Source organism: Homo sapiens, chromosome 10 (assembly GCF_000001405.40).
Source record: "Homo sapiens chromosome 10, GRCh38.p14 Primary Assembly".
NCBI lineage: Eukaryota > Metazoa > Chordata > Mammalia > Primates > Hominidae > Homo > Homo sapiens.
In genome coordinates, this window is record NC_000010.11 from 53,982,599 (window position 1) to 54,001,310 (window position 18,712).

The 18,712-nt window shown below is 36.7% G+C and overlaps 1 protein-coding gene across 20 annotated transcripts in view; it reads right to left on the bottom strand.

Moving 5' to 3' along the window:
• Positions 1-18,712, bottom strand: part of PCDH15 (protocadherin related 15) — a 1,825,172-nt gene that overhangs the window by 179,828 nt on the left and 1,626,632 nt on the right. For 19 of the 20 annotated variants that reach the window (XM_047425663.1, NM_001354420.2, NM_001354429.2 and 16 more), the window contains one exon: positions 13,051-13,167. In XM_047425663.1, coding sequence (XP_047281619.1) covers positions 13,051-13,167 — 117 coding nt within the window. Of the gene's footprint in view, positions 1-11,973; positions 13,168-18,712 lie in introns of those variants that run through there. The other variant, NM_001354430.2, reaches the window with a different exon arrangement.

Consider the following 18,712-nt stretch of genomic DNA (forward strand, 5'->3'; position numbering starts at 1 on the left):
TCATAGGTGGGAATTGAACAATGAGAACACATGGACACAGGAAGGGGAACATCACACTCTGGGGACTGTTGTGGGGTGGGGGGAGGGGAGAGGGATAGCATTAGGAGATATACCTAATGCTAAATGACGAGTTAATGGGTGCAGCACACCAGCATGGCACATGTATACATATGTAACTAACCTGCACATTGTGCACATGTACCCTAAAACTTAAAGTATAATAATAATAAAAAAATATAAAAAAAGAAAATATAATGGACTAAAATAATTAGGTCCTTAGTATCAGGGGAAATCTTGATTTAGTCATTTTTCTTAAACACATAATTATCAAGAAATTACTTACTCAGGCTCACATTGTTTCCTTCATAATTTCTTCATAGTTATAGCAATCACATTGTAGCAGGGAATACCAAACTTATTATTATCATTAAAAACAAATATTAAGTAATTTGTTTTCAAGAACACAAATATTTTACCCCGACATGGTTTCCAAAATTCTTTTTCCCAAAGTCTTTGAGGCAACTACTCTGACTGATTTTGTAACAGTGCAATTCACAAAATCTCCCAAGTATGATTTAACATCAGGAATTACTATAAAGGAATTACTATAAAGTGGTTTGGGTGTGTGTGTGTTTGTGTGTGTGTGTGTGTGTATACATATACACACACAAAATATATATATACGTTTTGCAGGCATGTGACTTAGTCATATTTTAGTGAATTTAACTGGATGTCAAGGTATCCTTAAAGGACAAAAGAGAAAGAAAAAAAAAAAAACAGCAGGCGGAACTCTTCATGTAACCACTGAGAAAGTCCTGTGCTTTTTTTACTTCTTCCTCCCTCTTCCCTGTTTTTAACACCTGGAATGACCAATATGTTTTGACAACATGTTGGCAAGTTCCTTATGCAGTTTGACACTTAATATAAGGTGTTTGTATAGTTCAGTTTCTACAGATAGGATATTGACACAGCTATTTAAGATTGTAAAAAATACTTGCTTTAGGGCTATTTACCACTAAATGTTTTGGGAAATGTGCTTTTCAAAGGTAAACGTAACTCGACCCTTAAAGGTATGAAATAACACATTCCTTGTAAAATTTATTTATTTAAACACAGTTGTTAAGTTTATGAAGTTGACATTTGGCACACCGTCAGACTTTCCTAATACAAAAAATTCATGTAGCCAAAGGAACTTAGAGATGAACCTTATCTGAGCTAGTAATTAGTGACCCTATATTCTATGCCTTAAATTCTTAACACTGTCTTCACAATCTACAAGATTAAGCAGGATCCAACTTAGGTTTCCCTCTCCATCCTCCTGAAAAAAAAATGGCCTTGGTTTTTGAAACTTACTGTTCTTCCTCATACTTCAGGGCCTGATTCTTTTGTTACGTGACTTTATCTTGGCATAACCTTCAGACCTCCGCTCAGAATCACTTCTAGAACCTTCCTTGACTCTCTAGATACAATCATGCTCCCTCTTATCTGGTTTCATAGAACCCTAAACATTTCTAAGTGCTTTTCTTTTTTTTTTTTTCTTTTTTCTTTTCTTTTTTTTTTTTTTTTTTTGAGGCAGAGTCTTGCTCTGTCCTCCATGCTTGAGTGCAGTGGTGCAATCTCTGCTCACTGCAAGTTCCGCCTCCTGGGTTCACACCATTCTCCTGCCTCAGCCTCCCAAGTAGCTGGGACTACAGGCGCCCACCACCATGCTCGGCTAATTTTTTGTATATTTTAGTAGAGACGGAGTTTTACCATGTTAGCCAGGATGGTCTCGATCTCCTGACCTTGTGATCTGCCCACCTCGGCCTCCCAAATTGCTGGGATTACAGGCGTGAGCCACCGTGCCTGGCCTTACTTGATTGACTTTTTAACTTTTATCCTTTCAAGTTTGAAATACCAAGGCTTGGAACCATGACAGTTTTCCCTTATGCTTAATCTAGCATCTCTTATATAATAGAATCTCTTTAAATAATATTCAATGCACAAACATATAGTAAATCTTGAGGAATTTTTATTGTGTTTGGATCTCAAGGGCACAGATTTGAGTTAAATATTACCTATAGTTTATGAAACATTATCATTGATGGATCTTCAAGGCATATTTGTTTATTCATTTCTTTCTCTTCTTTTATTCTCATACCTGTTTTTCCTATCTCTCTTTGCCACCAATGGCAATCTTTTTAATACATTTAAGGAGTATCTTTTAACTAGACCATTTATGGTACATTGTATTATAGTTTAGCAAATATCCCCTCCCCTTTCTTCTACTTCCTATTCTGATTTTTTGGGCTAGGCCATGTGACTTGCTTTGGTCAACAGACATGAAGAACTGTGACACGGGAGCAGTCTTTACATGTCATCATGTGGTTAGGCAAGTTCTCTTAGGATTCTATTCTCACTATGTGAAAAGCAGGCCTGGTTAGCCATGCGTCCCTGCAGAAGGAGATATGTGGAACAGACATGAGCCCAGACAAGGTCAGCCAACTCCTAGCTGCCTCACAGACCCATAAATAAAAATATTGATCTTTGCTATTGCAGAACAGTGAGATTTTGGTGTTGTTTACTAAGAATTGTTTTTGTAGGAAAAACTGTAGAAGCTTCTGTGTGCTTAAAAAAAAAACTTTATATAATGGTATTGCTTTCTTTTTCTATTTTCATTGAGCACTCAGTTCTTACACTTCATTCTTTTTGCTATGTGTTAATCAAATCCTGCTGCACCAGAAGTTCACAGGGTACTTCACACTAACTAATGATCACAGTTGTATAGGAATCTCTGGTATATGTTAGAAAGTTCATAATATGACATACAATGTTCCTGACAGTGGCATTGTCTTGAATGCTTTTAAATTATTTGACTCTGTAGTAAAGATGGCTTGAGGTTGGAGAGAGGATGGGGTGGCAGGCTCTCCATTACCATGGTGAGTGGAACAGCCAGGTGTGAAGCCAAACAAGCTGTAGCATTTAGCCACAATGGTAGTGTAGTCAAAGGGAAACTTCAAAACAGAATACTTGGGTCCAGTCCTTAGATTATAAACACACCCCGAGAAAAGATCAAGCAGGGAAAAAATTGTCATGGTCATGTTTCAGAGGCATAGCACCTTCCTGACTCCCTACTACCTTATGCTACCCACTTCTTCTCTACAACTTATGCTCAGGTTCCTGGACCTCTGACCTTTACAGGATTTTCCAGAATGCAGGGGAAAAGCACAAAGAGAAGGAAGCAGATCACAAAATATAAATATGGATGACAGATCTCATAGACTTAAACCATAAAAAAGGTCAGAGTAAACATAAAAAAAAGATAGTTAATATATATTATTTACTATGTAGTAGGCACCAACTGTTCCACATAAATGACATCATTTCAACATCACAGCAACCCTATAAAGTATTTCTTTTGTTTTTAGAACACATGAAATATATTCTTTAAACAAATTTTTAAGTGTATCACACAGTATTGTTAACTACAGTCACAATTTTGGAAAGCAGATCCTTAGAACAATACCAGAAAAACAAACAACAAATAACTCAATTAAGAAATGGGTAAAGGATTTGAATAACTTTTTCAAAAAAAAACAACAACATACACACTCGACATACAAATGGCCAACAGTACATAAAAATGTGCTCAACATCATTAGTCATAATGGAAATAAAGTCAAAACTACAATCAGATATCGCCTCATGCTTTGTAGGATGGCTTTTATTTAAAACAAATTTTTTTAAAGTTAGCAAGAATGTGAAGAAATTGCTACACTTGTGCATTGTTGGTGGAAATGTAAAATGGCACTGTCAATATGAGAAACAGTATGGGGTTTCCTCAAAAAAATTACTAATGTAACTACCATATGATCCAGTAGTTCCACTTTTGGGAATTTATTCAAAATATTTGAAATCAGGATCTTTAAGAGATATCTATCTGTACTCCCATGTGTACTGAAGCATTATTCAGAGTATCCAAGATGTGGAAACAGACTAAATGTTCATTGATGGATGAGTGGATAAAGAAAATGTGGTATATGCATACAAGTGAACATTACTCAGCTTTAAAAAGAAGGAAGTACTGCCATTTGTAACAATGTGAACGAATCTTGAGGACATTATGGTAAGTGAACTAAGCCAGTCATAGGACCAATACCGCATGATTGCATTTACATGAGATATCTAAAATAGTCGTCAAACTCAAGAAGCAGAGGTGGTTGTCAGGGGCTAAGGGAAAGGGGAAATAGGGAGTAGCTGTTCAAGGGTTATAAAGTTTTAATTGTGCTATTTTTGTTCTCATTTTCCAGATGCCAGAACTGAGGGTTACAGTAAATTAAGTGACTTGACCAAGGCCACAGGGCTAGTCAGTGGGAGTTTTTGAAGTTGAAACCAGACATTCTTGCTCCTGAGCCCACACTTTTGAAACCACTTAAAATTTTATTGAGCTGATAAACTATATAAATTTGCATATGAGGGGCCATCATACACCAGACACAATTCATACAAAGAAAAGAATATCTAAATATATACTAGTAAAAAACTTTAATATAAAAATGGAGATTTTTTTAAGCAGATAAAGCTAAAATATCTAAAAATGAAGAAAAATTAATTTGGCTTCACACTTTATAATTTATTAAATAATAAAAACATAGCGAAACATCATCTATATAGCTTTAAAGGGAAAAACTTTTGACCCAAGACTCTAGTAGTCTTTCAAGTTTTCTAAGTATAAGCAAAAAAAAAGTGTCATATAAGAACTTACAAAGTGTATATCCTCAATAAATTGAATACATAAATAAACTAAGAGATGCAGCAAATGCAGAGCTTAAGAGTGGATGGGTCAGAATATAAAAGGAGTGTTGCACGTCATACATAGGTTTAAATATGGAAAATATAAATGGCTGTTTAAAAATGCCTAGGAAATATAATTAAGGCACCATAAATTATTTTTAAATAAAATGTATGTGACTAATTCTTCAAAGAAAATATAATGAAAATAAACTTACAGAGTTAAAAACAAAAAGGTGAGTCATAAATAAATGTCATGTCCCCAGATGCCTCAGACACATGAAAATTAAAAGAGTAAGAAGGCAGCATCAGGAGACCAGAGGCCAATTTACCATGAAGGCCGCCCATGGGTTCCTAATCAACAGAACTATGGTCCTTCATTTAAATTTCATTGTCCTTACCCTGTCTGCAAAGTTTTTCACCATTCATTTCCTTCTCTCCATTGAAAACTTCTTTTCACCTGTACCACATTACTAGCAGGTTTCCCTTCCATCTTGTCAGTCTTTAATTTCTCTGGCTCTTTCCACTAATCAGTCCTTGACATATCCCCAAATTCTGAGAGTCTATTTCCAGGTTTTTCTCTTATCTAATTATGTTTTCATTCTTAGAGAATGGATTTACTTTCAGAGTTTGAACCTCAACTCAGGTAACTCCTGTGTTCACGTTTCTTTTTTAAGCTCTTAGTCTGATATTTTCTGCCCGATCCATCCCAGGCTCTTTAAATGCAACCACATCATCCCCGCGTCAGATCAAAGCAATCAAAGCAGCTGCGGCAACTCAATACCTATCATCTAGGGTCCTTCTCACGGAGTTGCTGATCTGTGTGAAGGCAACCTTAGCCTCACACTGCCATCTGCCTCTAGCCTCCCCTCAGCATTAGGTTTCATGTACTCCTTGGTTTGATAACTGGGCAACAGATAAGGTTTCTGCCAGCCCCATGGTACAGCTCCTTCAGCCTCCATCCTCCACACCTGAGGCCGAGGGGATGGGGGAGGGTGTGGGTGCCAATTTTTCTCATTCTATAGATAGTTGCACTCAGATGTTTTGAAATCATTTAAAATTTAATTTGTCCTAAAAGTGACCTCAGGCTGTGACACAGTCTCTAGGCTATGTTAGGTCTGTGTTTGATTGTAGGGCTACGGTCCAAACATAGCCACCATGCAAGAAAATGAACGAATTGCAAAGAGGACAAAGATAAGACCAGGAATTATGAGTGGCTTAATTTAGAGGGTGTTAAGGCCAAGAATCCAGGTCATGAGAAGCCAAGATACCCTTTCAGAGGGTCTGTTTCCATTTCCCCTGGCAAGACACTCAGAATAAAGAATATCATTTAAGCCATAAGGGAGGTCTGTGGGCCAGTCCCAGAGAAAGTCTATTATATTTCACTCAATTTTCTTGGAAATCTGTCTTGTTTAAAGTATGTTGGGACCCAGGTCCTGTGAGGTATATTCTTATTCCCCACTCCCGAAATATGTGAATTATTGATACTGTTAAAAGAAAAGCTTTAGACAAATTTAAGAGTTTAATTGAGAAAAGAAAAAAAACATGATTTCCAAATCAGCCCCTAGAATCAAAGAAAATTCGGAGAGACTTTGGCACTGTCACAAGGTCAAACATCTATGGGAAAAAAATGTGATGTGCAAAAACTAAAACTGAGATACAGAAACAGCTGGATTGGTTACAGCTCAGCATTTGCCTTATTTAAACAAAGTTTAAACAGTTGGCCGCCTATGAGTGGTTAAAGTATACCTACTGGAATTGGCTAAGACTAAGCTGTCATTACAGGGAAACATACTACTAAAGTTAGGCTTTTAGTCTGTTTACCTGCTAAGTATCTGAGTATGGACATTTTCCAGGCTAGATTTTAGTTTTATTTAGTAACACATTATGGGATCTGAAGGACACTTTTTTAAAGGTTGAAACAAACAAATTTTACGCACATTTCCATTTATAACAAAAGAAAAATGCCCCTTTAGCTCTGGTAAGTATGACAATTTCTAAATTAAAAGAGCATTATTTACATCTGAATTGTTAATTCTAATATTAATTTCAAGTATTATTAATAATATAATCATTTTTCACTAAGCCTTCCCTTTTATACCCGTTTACACTTTCAAATCTAATTATATTCCACTGTTGTTTTAAAGATCAAGCCCCAACTGTTTCATGGTGTACCTTCTTTCTAATTAAGTATTTGAGACAAATGGGAGTCAGGCTGGGACTATAGCATGTCAATTTTCACAAGCTGACATTCACAGTAAAAGTAGTTCTTGATTATTTCCCTAACAGCTTTGATGTTAAGGGGAAAAAAAGCAACAACAACACTGAGCTGTGTATATTCCCTCCTCATGCTCCTGGGTGAGAAATCATAGTTAGTAGCTGCTGATCTTAAAAATCAGAGTCTCTGCTACATTGTTAGCAATAATCTAAATCAATACAGACTAACAACACAAGCCAGTATGTGGTGAGTCATGAAAAATAAATCAGTAGTGATATCAATTGAAAATGATACCAAAAAACTATATTATCTGGAAGGAAAAATACAATTTTATAACACTCTTGGTCCTGAATAGTTTTGACTATGGCACACAAAGCAAGCAAGCAGCGAATTACATGACTGTTACTTTCTTTCTACTGTTAGCACCCTCCGCTAATAGATTGTAACAGAATGACTGTTTGGAGGGTTAAGCATTGGGAAATGTCCATAATTACATAGCATGTTTGGTAACATCGTGACATTTTAATAAAACACAGATATACATTATAGAAAAGAAGATCTAGCCATCTTTTTACACTCTCTAGAGATCAATAAATGTACCCTTGAATGACAGATGGGTGTTGAAACCCCTTTGCAAATAATTCCTCAGGTAGCTCTTCTAAGCTCTGAAACGCTACAATAGTTCTCAAAATCTCAACAGAGGGAAATAAAATACTTCACAGTTGTAATGATTTTCTCTTTATATATATACTTTCTGAAAAAGTATAGTGAGAATACTAAGTATTTGGGAACTGATTTTAAAGTCCATAACTATTAAAAATTGCAAGAATTTTTATGGAGCATATTTATTTCATAAATCAGTATTAAAGCCTGAAAAAAGAAGTCTTAAAAGTCTACATAATTCTCACAATGTTATATATATGTTATATATATATATGTTCTATATATGTTTTATATATGTTATATATATAAAGAACATATTTCTCACAATGTTATATATATATGTTATATACATATATATAAAAGAAAGTTGGTCAAAATTGTTCATATTGAGAGGTGACAACATGCTGGTGGCCCTCACTTGCTCTCAGCGCCTCCTCGGACTCGGCGTCCACTCTGGCCACACTTGAGGAGCCCCTTCAGCCCACCGCTGCACTGTGGGAGCCCCTCTCTGGGCTGGCTGAGGCTGGAGATGGCTCCCCCTGCTTGCAGGGAGGTGTGGAGGGAGAGGTGCAGGTGGGAACTGGGGCTGTGCATGGTGCTTGTGGGCCAGCACGAGTTCCAGGTGGGTGTGGGCTTGGCGGGCCCCACACTCCGAGCGGCCGTCTGGCGCCACCGGCCCTGGGCAGTGAGGGGTTTAGCACCCGGGCCGGCAGCTGCAGAGGGTGCACTGAGTCCCCCAGCACTGCCCGCCCGCCCACGCTGCACTCGAATTCTCGCCAGGCCTCAGCCACCTCCCCACGGGGCAGGGCTTGGGACCTGCAGCCCGCCATGGCCGAACCCCCCCCACCCCCGTGGGCTCCCGCGCAGCCCGAGTCTCCCCAACAGGGTGCTGCCCCCTGCTCCATGGCGCCCGGTCCCATCAACTGCCCAAGGGCTGAGGAGAGCGGGCGCGCGGTGCGGGACTGGCAGGCAGCTCTGCCTGCAGCCCCGGCGTGGGATCCACTAGCCAAAGCCAGCTGGGCTCCTGAGTCTGGTGGGGACTTGGAGAACTTTTATGTCTAGCTGGAGGATTGTACATGCACCAATCAGCACTCTGTGTCTAGCTTGGGGTTCGTGGATGCACCAATCAGCACTCTGTATCTAGTTAATCTGGTGGGGACTTGGAGAACTTTTATGTCTAGCTAAAGGATTGTAAATGCACCAGTCAGTGCTCTGTGTCTAGCTCAAGTTTGTAAATGCACCAATCAGCACCCTGTGTCTAGCTCAAGGTTTGTAAACCCACCAATCAGTGCTCTGTGTCTAGCTCATCTAGTGGGGACTTGGAGAACTTTTGTGTCTAGCTAAAGGACTGTAAATGCACCAATCAGCACTCTGTGTATAGCTCAAGGTTTGCAAACACACCAGTCGGCACTCTGTGTCTAGCTCAAGGTTTGTAAACGCACCAATCAGTGCTCTGTGTCTAGTTAATCTAGTGGGGACTTGGAGAACTTTTATGTCTAGCTAGAGGATTGTAAATACCCCAATCAGCACTCTGTGTCTAGCTCAGGGATTATAAATGCACCAATCAGCACCCTGTCAAAACAGACCAATCAGCTCTCTGTAAAATGGACCAATCAGCTCTCTGTAAAATGGGCCAATCAGCATGATGTGGGTGGGGTCAGATAAGGGAATAAAAGCAGGCTGCCCAAGCCAGCAGCCGCAACCCGCTCGGGTCCCCTTCCACCCTGTGGAAGCGTTGTTCTTTTGCTCTTTGCAATAAATCTTGCTGCTGCTTACTGTTTGGGTCCATACTGCCTTTATGAGCTGTAACACTTGCTGCGAAGGTCTGCAGCTTCACTCCTGAGGCCAGCGAGACCATGAACCCACTGGGAGGAATGAGCAACTCTGGACGGGAGGAAGGAACAACTCCAGACGTGCTGCCTTAAGAGCTGTAACACTCACTGCAAAGGTCTGCAGTTTCACTGTTGAAGCCAGCAAGACCACGAACCCACCAGAAGGAAGAAACTCCAAACACGTCTGAACATCAGAAGGAACAAACTCTGGACACACCATCTTTAAGAACTGTAACACTCAGTGCGACAGTCTGCGGCTTCCTTCTTGAAGTCGGTGAGACCAAGAACCCACCAGTTTCGGAGACAATATTAAACATGTTCCAATTACTACTCTACTTTAAACAAGAACCTTATAAATTCCTAAAATATATAAAATATAAGGAATGGTACAAATAATGCTTCACTTGTTGGAGATGAAGTGAAGATGAAACATAAACCCTATTTATTTATCCCAATTATTCCATGTTCACATACTCACAAAAGACTATTCTGTCACAATTTAACCCTGTTCCCCAAAATCTCCTCATAAATGCAGTTTCAAAAAGAACAAAACTATGCAAATAAACATTACACCTGTAGTTTTGTTCTGTCAAATTTGGGAATGAAACGTCTCTGGTGAAAAGAAATAAACGGTTAGCCATTTTTAATTTCAAAAATGATCAGTCATTCACTATTCATGTCTCATGTGAACTACATAATGTCAACGCTGTCACGAAAGCACGGTAGAAAAAAGAGATCCTCTCAGCTTCAATTTAGTAGAGGGAAAAGTTCCTGGAATATGTTTTTCCTCCCTCTGGAGCACTTCAGTTTTGCAAAACATGTATTTTATAATTCTTATTTTGTATTCAACAATAGTGCTCTCTCTGGCTTTCAGAGTTTTTCCAGTTTCTCTGATATTTCAAAAAGTTATGGTGTTGTCATTTTATAGTTTAACATGAGTGGTTCTCACTTCATTCAAAAGAAACAGGATACCTTGAAAACGATGTGGCCAACCTCTAGAAATGAAAATTATTATTGCTTAATAATAGTAATACCTAATATATGCAGGGGCAGAAGCCTGGTTGAGCATGTATATACATCAATCATTTAATTCTCATAGCCCTTACATGGCCAAACTAAGTCTTGGAGATATTAAGAATTTTTTCTACAGTAATACAAAATTAAATTTCTGGAAGTCTGGCACATTTTGTCAATCCTGAAGAATACAGAATAAACGTTTATTTATTCACCTATTCAATTATTCAACAAATGTTTCCTGGCAGACTAGTAAGTAGCAGGCTTAGAGTTAGACATGAGAATACAAACTGAAATAAGTTTTGATTCCTGTCCTCAAGGACCTTACATTCTAGTTTGGAAGAGAGACTATTAAATAAACCTACAGTGTTAAGATAGATACTTACAGCCCCAGGTAGTGGTATAGGATCCCTGAAGAGTATGAAATTGAAACTATTTTCTTCTAATTAATAAACATTTATAACAGTAACAGAGTAGAAAACACTTGGCAAGCCTATCTGAATAATAATTATTCTGTCTTTATGGTACCAACATAAAATAAGGGTAAAAAGCATAACATTTAAAAAAAAGTAATTATGTAATATAGTAATTTCAAAAACGTTCATGGAATTGAGCTTTTACTTAGGATTCGTGTAGGTGCAACCAAATTGCAACTATGCTCACTTAAGGGTCCCAGTTTGCAACAATGATTCAAAAGCTCAATTCTGATCATAGCTATATCAAAAGATTGTTGGTGTTTCCAGGGGCAAAACTGAGTCTGATAAATATATACTCAATAACTGAAATAAATAGATTCAGTATTTCAATGGAATGACTGGCATCCACTTTCTATCTAATGAAAGGCCAATATCAATTATTAAACGCTAAAAATTACTACTGGGAGTGCAAAACTGAAAACCTCTTCCAAAGAAATATGAAATTTAAATCTGGCAATTTTATTTAAAAGAGCTTCAAAGTGTAAAAACAGAGCTTTCTCTTTACATAAATACTTACGATAAGTAATTTATCTTCTTTATAGAACAGACAACAGACCAAGACAACTTTTCGCACCTTGGTGGATGCGCTCTGAATGCCAAGCCAGGCACCACAGTCATTACTACCAAAGGGGAAGTAATAAATTTACTGTCTATACGAAGACTTTCAGGTCTGTCCCATGTAGGTGAAAAATAGCGCGACTTTTAATCTCTCATCATTAACGCCATTAAACTCTATATTAAATTCTGTGCTGATGAAAATTTTTTTTAAATGTATGTTAGTATTGTGTTTCCTTACACTCATTTATTACAGAGTGTTATGGTTTCTATTTGCAATTCTGTCTTTTCTATAAAATTTTCAGTTTCTTGAGAGCAAAAACTGGTTGCCACAATGACCAGTATATAGTTGGTGCTAAAAACACATATGTTGAATAAAATTGAATACATATTCCTAATTTCAAAGTAATTGTACATGTTACAATGTACTTAAAAAACAGAAAAATTGCCAGTTTCACATTCACTATCTTTATTGATGGGTTCAAGTCTATGAAATTTTTGCCTATCATATATCCCAAAGCACAATAAAGCAGTTTCAAAGACATTTTAACACACTTAAGAAAAGGAGCTTCTGAATTAAAGCCCACCACTTTCATATTAACATTAATACATTTTGATTCCATATAGTCACAATAGAGTTTATAAGACTTGTCCAAATCGAAGCTGAAAAATGTTATGATGGCCATTCACTTTTAATTAAATACAAGCATTAAAAGAAATACTATTTATATTAGCAATAGAAAACAGAACTTCTAAATCACTTATAAGATTCAGGATTTTATTTTCTTACTCTTCTAAAATAGTTCATTTAACTTTTATTTGTATTTTTCTAAAATTTATCAGCCACCAACTTACAGTGTGAGCCCACTCAGAGAAAAATTTAAATCATCAGGATAATAATTAATATTTATAAAACAAGGTATTTATAGAAAGCTTTTTTATATGTATACTATTAATTATACATGGTATTTTATCACTCTCACTATAATAATATTTTAATTAAAACCTTGCCTTGAAAGATAATTTGGGATATCTCAAAAAAGTAAAGTTCTATATGATAAAAGAATGTTAACTATTTTCTGTAAGCAATCTTAAGCTTTTTAATTTACCAAAATAAACACATTCAATATAAGTTTCATGTGATATGTTGATTTGGAGTTTGCTAACAAAATAGTCATATATGCATACAGTGGAAAATACATAAATTTAAAACATATCCAGATTAAGTGAAGCTTACAAATGGAGACAATTCATATATATTTATCATTGTTAGATAAATTAGTAATTAGTACATTGTGCATTCTAGAAAAACAAAAAGCATATTCTTTGTCTAGGTTCAATAATAGTCATCTGAAATATGCTCTGTACCTGTGGATGAAATAAGTAAAAGAACATAAAATGTATGAATAAATAGGGTGAAATTTACAGAGACTACTTTTGCTGTCTTGTGATTCGGTCATTTATGAGTGTTAAGGATTTTTCTCAGTACAGTTCAGAATATTAATCAATGCCTTCTACTTACAGGAGGGTCTGCATCTTCAGCATAAACTGTTGTGATAGGTGTACCCTTGACTGCATCCGGAGCCACCATCCCTTTGTATATTCGTTTACTAAAGACAGGAGGATAATCATTCATATCCTGTAAAACACAATTAGGAGTTTAGTACTTCAGTTGAAACCAGGTTAGGGATACAGTTACTAGATTGACTCCCAGTCTTCATATCACACAACTTATTTACCACTGTCAGCCTTCCATCCTCTCAATTCCATTACTCTCATTTCAGACTGGCACCTCAGAGGAAACTGCCAGAGTTCTCATACAATATTAATGTGTGGATATCAACTGAAGGCCGTTCCACTGGAATAAAGTCTTTCACCCTCAAAAACATGCCTTTTGGAGACTGAAGTGACCCTGGAATTTTTTTCTAACTTCTAATGGTAAGAGGTAAAATTTTAACATTTGAAAATAAGAACAAGTTTCTTTAAAAGCTACATTCTGTGAAGCAGGCGTAAAAGATTTTTTTTAAATGCTCTTTATATGTTTTTATAGCAATGTAAATTATTTTATATACTTAGCATAATACTGACTAGAACATTTCAGATACAAACTGTGAAATATCCTTTGTTGCCATTTTACATGATAAAAGGAGATTTTCTCTGCAGCGCACTAAAATAATGACACTTAAGATTAGATATATTTATACACAGAAAACAATGTTAATTTACTGAATTTTTTTCAGAGCAACTTATATGTATCTTATTTTTCCAATTTGGCGCTATATATGCATTGTTATTCATGCATTGTCAAGTTCATTAAATAAATAGTTATCAGGTATTTCCCACTTTCATCAGATATTTAGCACTTCAGTGCGAGGCACTGAAGATACTGTTGTGACTCAAGAAAAAGATGTCCCTGTCTTTGTGTCACTTAACTGCCATTAGGCTAGTAAAAATACTAATCTGCAGAAAGGCTAGTAACTTTGACTAAATTAATCTACTTATCAGGGCCAAAATAATAAATCAAGTCCCCTGAAAGGAAGACCATATTTTTCTGAATCATTTTATCTTTTAGAGATAATTGTATATAATCTTTTGTCAATAAATAATGCTTATTCATATGGCAGATTTATTTATTTATAATATTTTAATAATCCTTACCCTACCGTGTTTTGGGTAGTGTGGGTCAAACATATTTGAACTGAAACCTAAATTTGTTAATTATCTGCTCTTCTCCTCCAAGTCCCCTTTTTCTCACTTGCTAGTAAAAACAAAATTTAAAAAATTCTACATATTCTTTGATATTTGCTTAGACACAACAATTTTCCTGTACAGTATTAAGCTGGAAACACATAAATTAACAGATCTCAAACTTCTCTTTTTGCAAAGAAGTCAGAATAATTATTTCTTACTATCAAACAATGCTTCCTTTTATATTCGCCATAGAGTTGAGTTCTGAGTAGTCAATATGAATAAACCTGCATATTCTAATAGGAGAACTTGAACTGTACACAAAACTGAAAAATAAAAAATATCATTTCTTCTGTTTTGAAATACAGTATTCACCATCTCTTCTATGAAAAATATTTTTACAATAAATTATGGACTTTAGAATCTGAACAAGTAAATGAACCGAGAAGTTTTAGTTCTCTATAATGAGGACTGTGAAGGGTATTGATCTTGAGGCTCCATGCAGGGAGTAAATATATAAAACATTAGCATTCACACATTTTCGTGCCCTTTCCAAGAGTGCCAATTAACTTAATAAGTGGATGTGGTAACTAAGGGTGTGGAAATCCTTTAGCACCCCTAAATTGTAACTTCTGAAGGTTCGAAAGGAAGGAGCCCAACACTGCAATGTTTCCATGCATGAGTTTCCAATGAGCTCATTATGTTCTTAAAAATTTTATTCTTTATTTTATTCTCAGGGGAAATTTAAAACCTTAATGTCACAAGGTACTTTTTGGAAAATTTGATTCTTCAGAAACAAAAAAAATGTATATACTTTTCCAATTATGTCAACACAGCTGTTCACAGTGTTGAATATGATGAACTTTTTATTTGCTTGGGAAGTATTCATTGGATTCACCTTCTAACTTGAATGTACAGTGATTCACAAACTGATTAGACACACACCTAAGACTGTAAATGACTGAAGCCTATGAAAAGATTGGTTCTCTTCCCCCTTTATTTTCTATTGACAGGATGAAGAATAAATTAATGTAGTTATTGTAGTAGTATTTCTTTTTATGGCACGTTGTACATACTTTGGGGTTATAATCTTTCATTGTGGTTACAAAAGCAGCTAGTTGCATATAGTTTTTCCACAATGCATTATTTCAAGAGGAGAAATGTATTGAAATGCAATTCCAACAAGCATAATCAATAGTTCACTGTATTTATGCTCAGGGACATCTGAACAAAAATGTATATAAATCGGCTTCTGTGCAAATGTTCTCTTGTGCAGTAAATTAAGGACTCGCTCAGCACTCCAAAACCATGCTCTTTTCTCTTGCCCATTATTCCACTAGAGGGTAGTATTAGCAAAAAGAAATATTTCCTCCTCTGTAGTTAAGAATTGTATCACTAAAACCCATAATATTTGTTTCTTTTGGTAAAAATTTTTATTGGTCTCAACAAAAAATAGTTTTAATGCTTCAAAAGAGTATTCTGAATGTTATGATTTACAACTTGAAAAACCTTATGGTTTTTTTCTTAAGGAAAACTTTAAAAAATGGTTATACTCATAAAGCCTGCAATTTGTTTCCATGTGTCAAGCAAATAAAATTATACCTGAAGGTGTAGGTAGCTAACAGGAGAAAACTATGTTTTATTTATTTATTTGCTACATTAGAGTCTGTAATAATCACAGAAACCTTTTCTCCTTTAGCAGACTACCAAGAAGATGTAAGGAATCTTTTTAATGATCATGCTAGGAAGATAAGAACTTGCTGGTAAGTTTGTAAATGTAATGACAAGTTGAAGTTCTACACACACAAAAAAAATAAAAATAAAGAGAAAAAGATGATAAAATTTTTGATTTTCTGGAATCACAGGCAAAAACCTATAGAACAGTTTTTATTTAGAAGATAAGTAGAAAGTTCTAACTAGTTGGAACTTGATCATCTTTTTAAAAATAACGTGTAGGCTGGGCACGGTGGCTCGCATCTGTAATTCCAACACTTTGGGAGGCTGAGGTGGGCGGATCACCCAAGGTCAGGAGTTCGAGACCAGCCTGGCCAACATGGCGAAACTGTGTCTCTACTAAAAATACAACAATAAGCCTGGCATGGTGGCGGGCACCTGTAATCCCAGCTACTCGAGAGGCTGAGGAAGGGAGAATTCCTTGAACCCAGGAGGCGGATGTTGCAGTGAGCCGAGATCGCGCCATTGCACTCCAGCCTGGGTGACAGAGTGATACTCAGTCTCAAAAAAAAAAAAAAAAAAAAAGATATGTATATAGCAAATGCCAGTCCTTACCATACTAAAGCTAATTCAGGCTCTATGAGGAGACACAGACAGTATAAGCCAATGGGCGGAATGACTTTAGTTGTTTCTGTCTTATGGTCTAGCATTAGCATTATCCTTGTTGAGCTATATGGCTGCTCTATAATGCCTTGAGGTTTATGGAGCCGATACCTACTTTTACGTGGGTGTATGGTTGATTGTTTGCCTCTTACCAGTTCTGTTTTCCACTACTAGACACTTTCTATTTGCTGTCCAAGTTGCTGTTTCTCATATTTCTCATATTATTAGCATTCTGCTGGGTTTTTTTCTCTCTCAATTTCTGTATTGTCTCCTTGTCTTTACTGACTTATTTCCCTTCTTTTATGCTTCTGCATAAAAAGTCATAAAAGGCTACATCTGCAGCTAAAGAAAATATTTGATATTTTTACTGCCAGGCTAGGCATATTCACCACAAGCTGATTTAAGAGGCCATGGGCCATAAGTGAACATTGGTGGTAGCCTGGCAGTACTCCCCAAGGGTCTTTGATAGTGGCACAGGGTAAGGCTCCTCTGCTTGTGGAGAAGGACTGTTTCTCATAGGTTGAGTGCCTGCTCAGCCACAGTACACAAGAACACAAGGTAGAATTCTAAGGTTTTGACTTCCAGACGGTAACTTTGAACCTGTTCAGGGCCTGGGAGATTTTTGCCACCCTGAAGGGAAAGACACAGGTCTGGCTGGCTTTGCCACCTGCTGATTATAGAGACCCATGGCCTTGAACAAACTTAAGTGGTAGCCAGGGTGGTTACAGCAGGTCTTGGACAAGACCCAGTGCTGTGCTGGGTTTAGGTCTGACCCACTGCAGTCCCAGCAGTGGGGTCCACAGGGGTGCTTGTGTCACCCCAACCCCAGCTCCAGGTGGCTCCAAACAGAGACACTCTGTCTGGGAGAGAGCAAGGGAAAAGAACAGGAGTTTCTGCCTGGTAATTAAGGGAATTCTTCTGGATCTTATCCAAGACCATTAAGGTAGTAAGAGTCTGCCAAGAACCACAGTGTTACTGGGCTTGTGGTGCCTCCTAAAGCAGATACAGCTTTAGCAACACCTACATCCTTTCAAATACCTGAAAAGCTTTCCAAATAACAAATACGAAGAAGTCCAGACTGTGAAGAATACAATAAATACCCAACGCTTAAATGCCCAGACACAGACAAACATCCACAAGCATCAATATCATCCAGGAAAACATGAAGTCACCAAATGAACTAAACAAGCCACCAGAAACCAATCCTGGGGAAACAGAGAGAGTGATCTTTCAGACAGAGAATTCAAAATAGTTGTTTTGAGAAAACTCAAAAAATTCAAGATAACACAGAGAAGAAATTTAGAATTCTATCAGATACATTTAACAAAGAGATTGAAATAATTTTAAAAATCAAGAAGAAATTCTGGAGTTGAAAAATGCAACTGACACCCTGAAGAATGCATCAGTTTTTTAATAGCAGAATTGACCAAGCAGAAGAAAGAATTAGTGAGCTTGAAGACAGCCCATTTCAAAATACACAGTCAGAGGAGGCAAGAGAAAAAAAAGAACAAAATCAATGAAACATGACTACAAGATCTAGAAAATGGCCTCAAAAGGGCAAATGTAAGTGTTATTGGCATTAAAGAGGAGACAGACAAAGAGATAAGGGTAGAAAGTTTATTAAAAGGAATAATAATGAAGAACTTCCCAAACCCAGAAAAGGATATCAATATCCAAGTACAAAAGATTATAGAACTACCAGCAGATTTAACCCAAAGAACACTAGCTCAAGTTATTTAATAATCAAACTCCCAAAGGTCAAGGATAAATAAAGGATCCTAAAGGAGTAAGAGAAAAGAAACAAATAACATACAATGGAGCTCTAATACATCTGGCAGCAGACATTTAGCAGAAACCTTACAGGCCAAGAGAGAGTGGCATGTCATACTTAAAGTGCTGAAGGACAAAAAAAATTCCTAGAAGAGTATATCTGGTTAAAATATCCTTCAAACAGGAAGGAGAAATAAAGACTTTCCCAGACAAATAAAAGCTGAGGGATTTCATCAACACCAGACCTGTCCTATAAGAAATTCTAAAGAAAGTTCTTCAATAAAAAAAGAAAGTTCGTGAGTAATAAGAAATCATCTGAAGATACAAAACTCACTGGTAATAGTATGTACACAGGAAACACAGAGTATTATAACACTGTAACTGTGGTG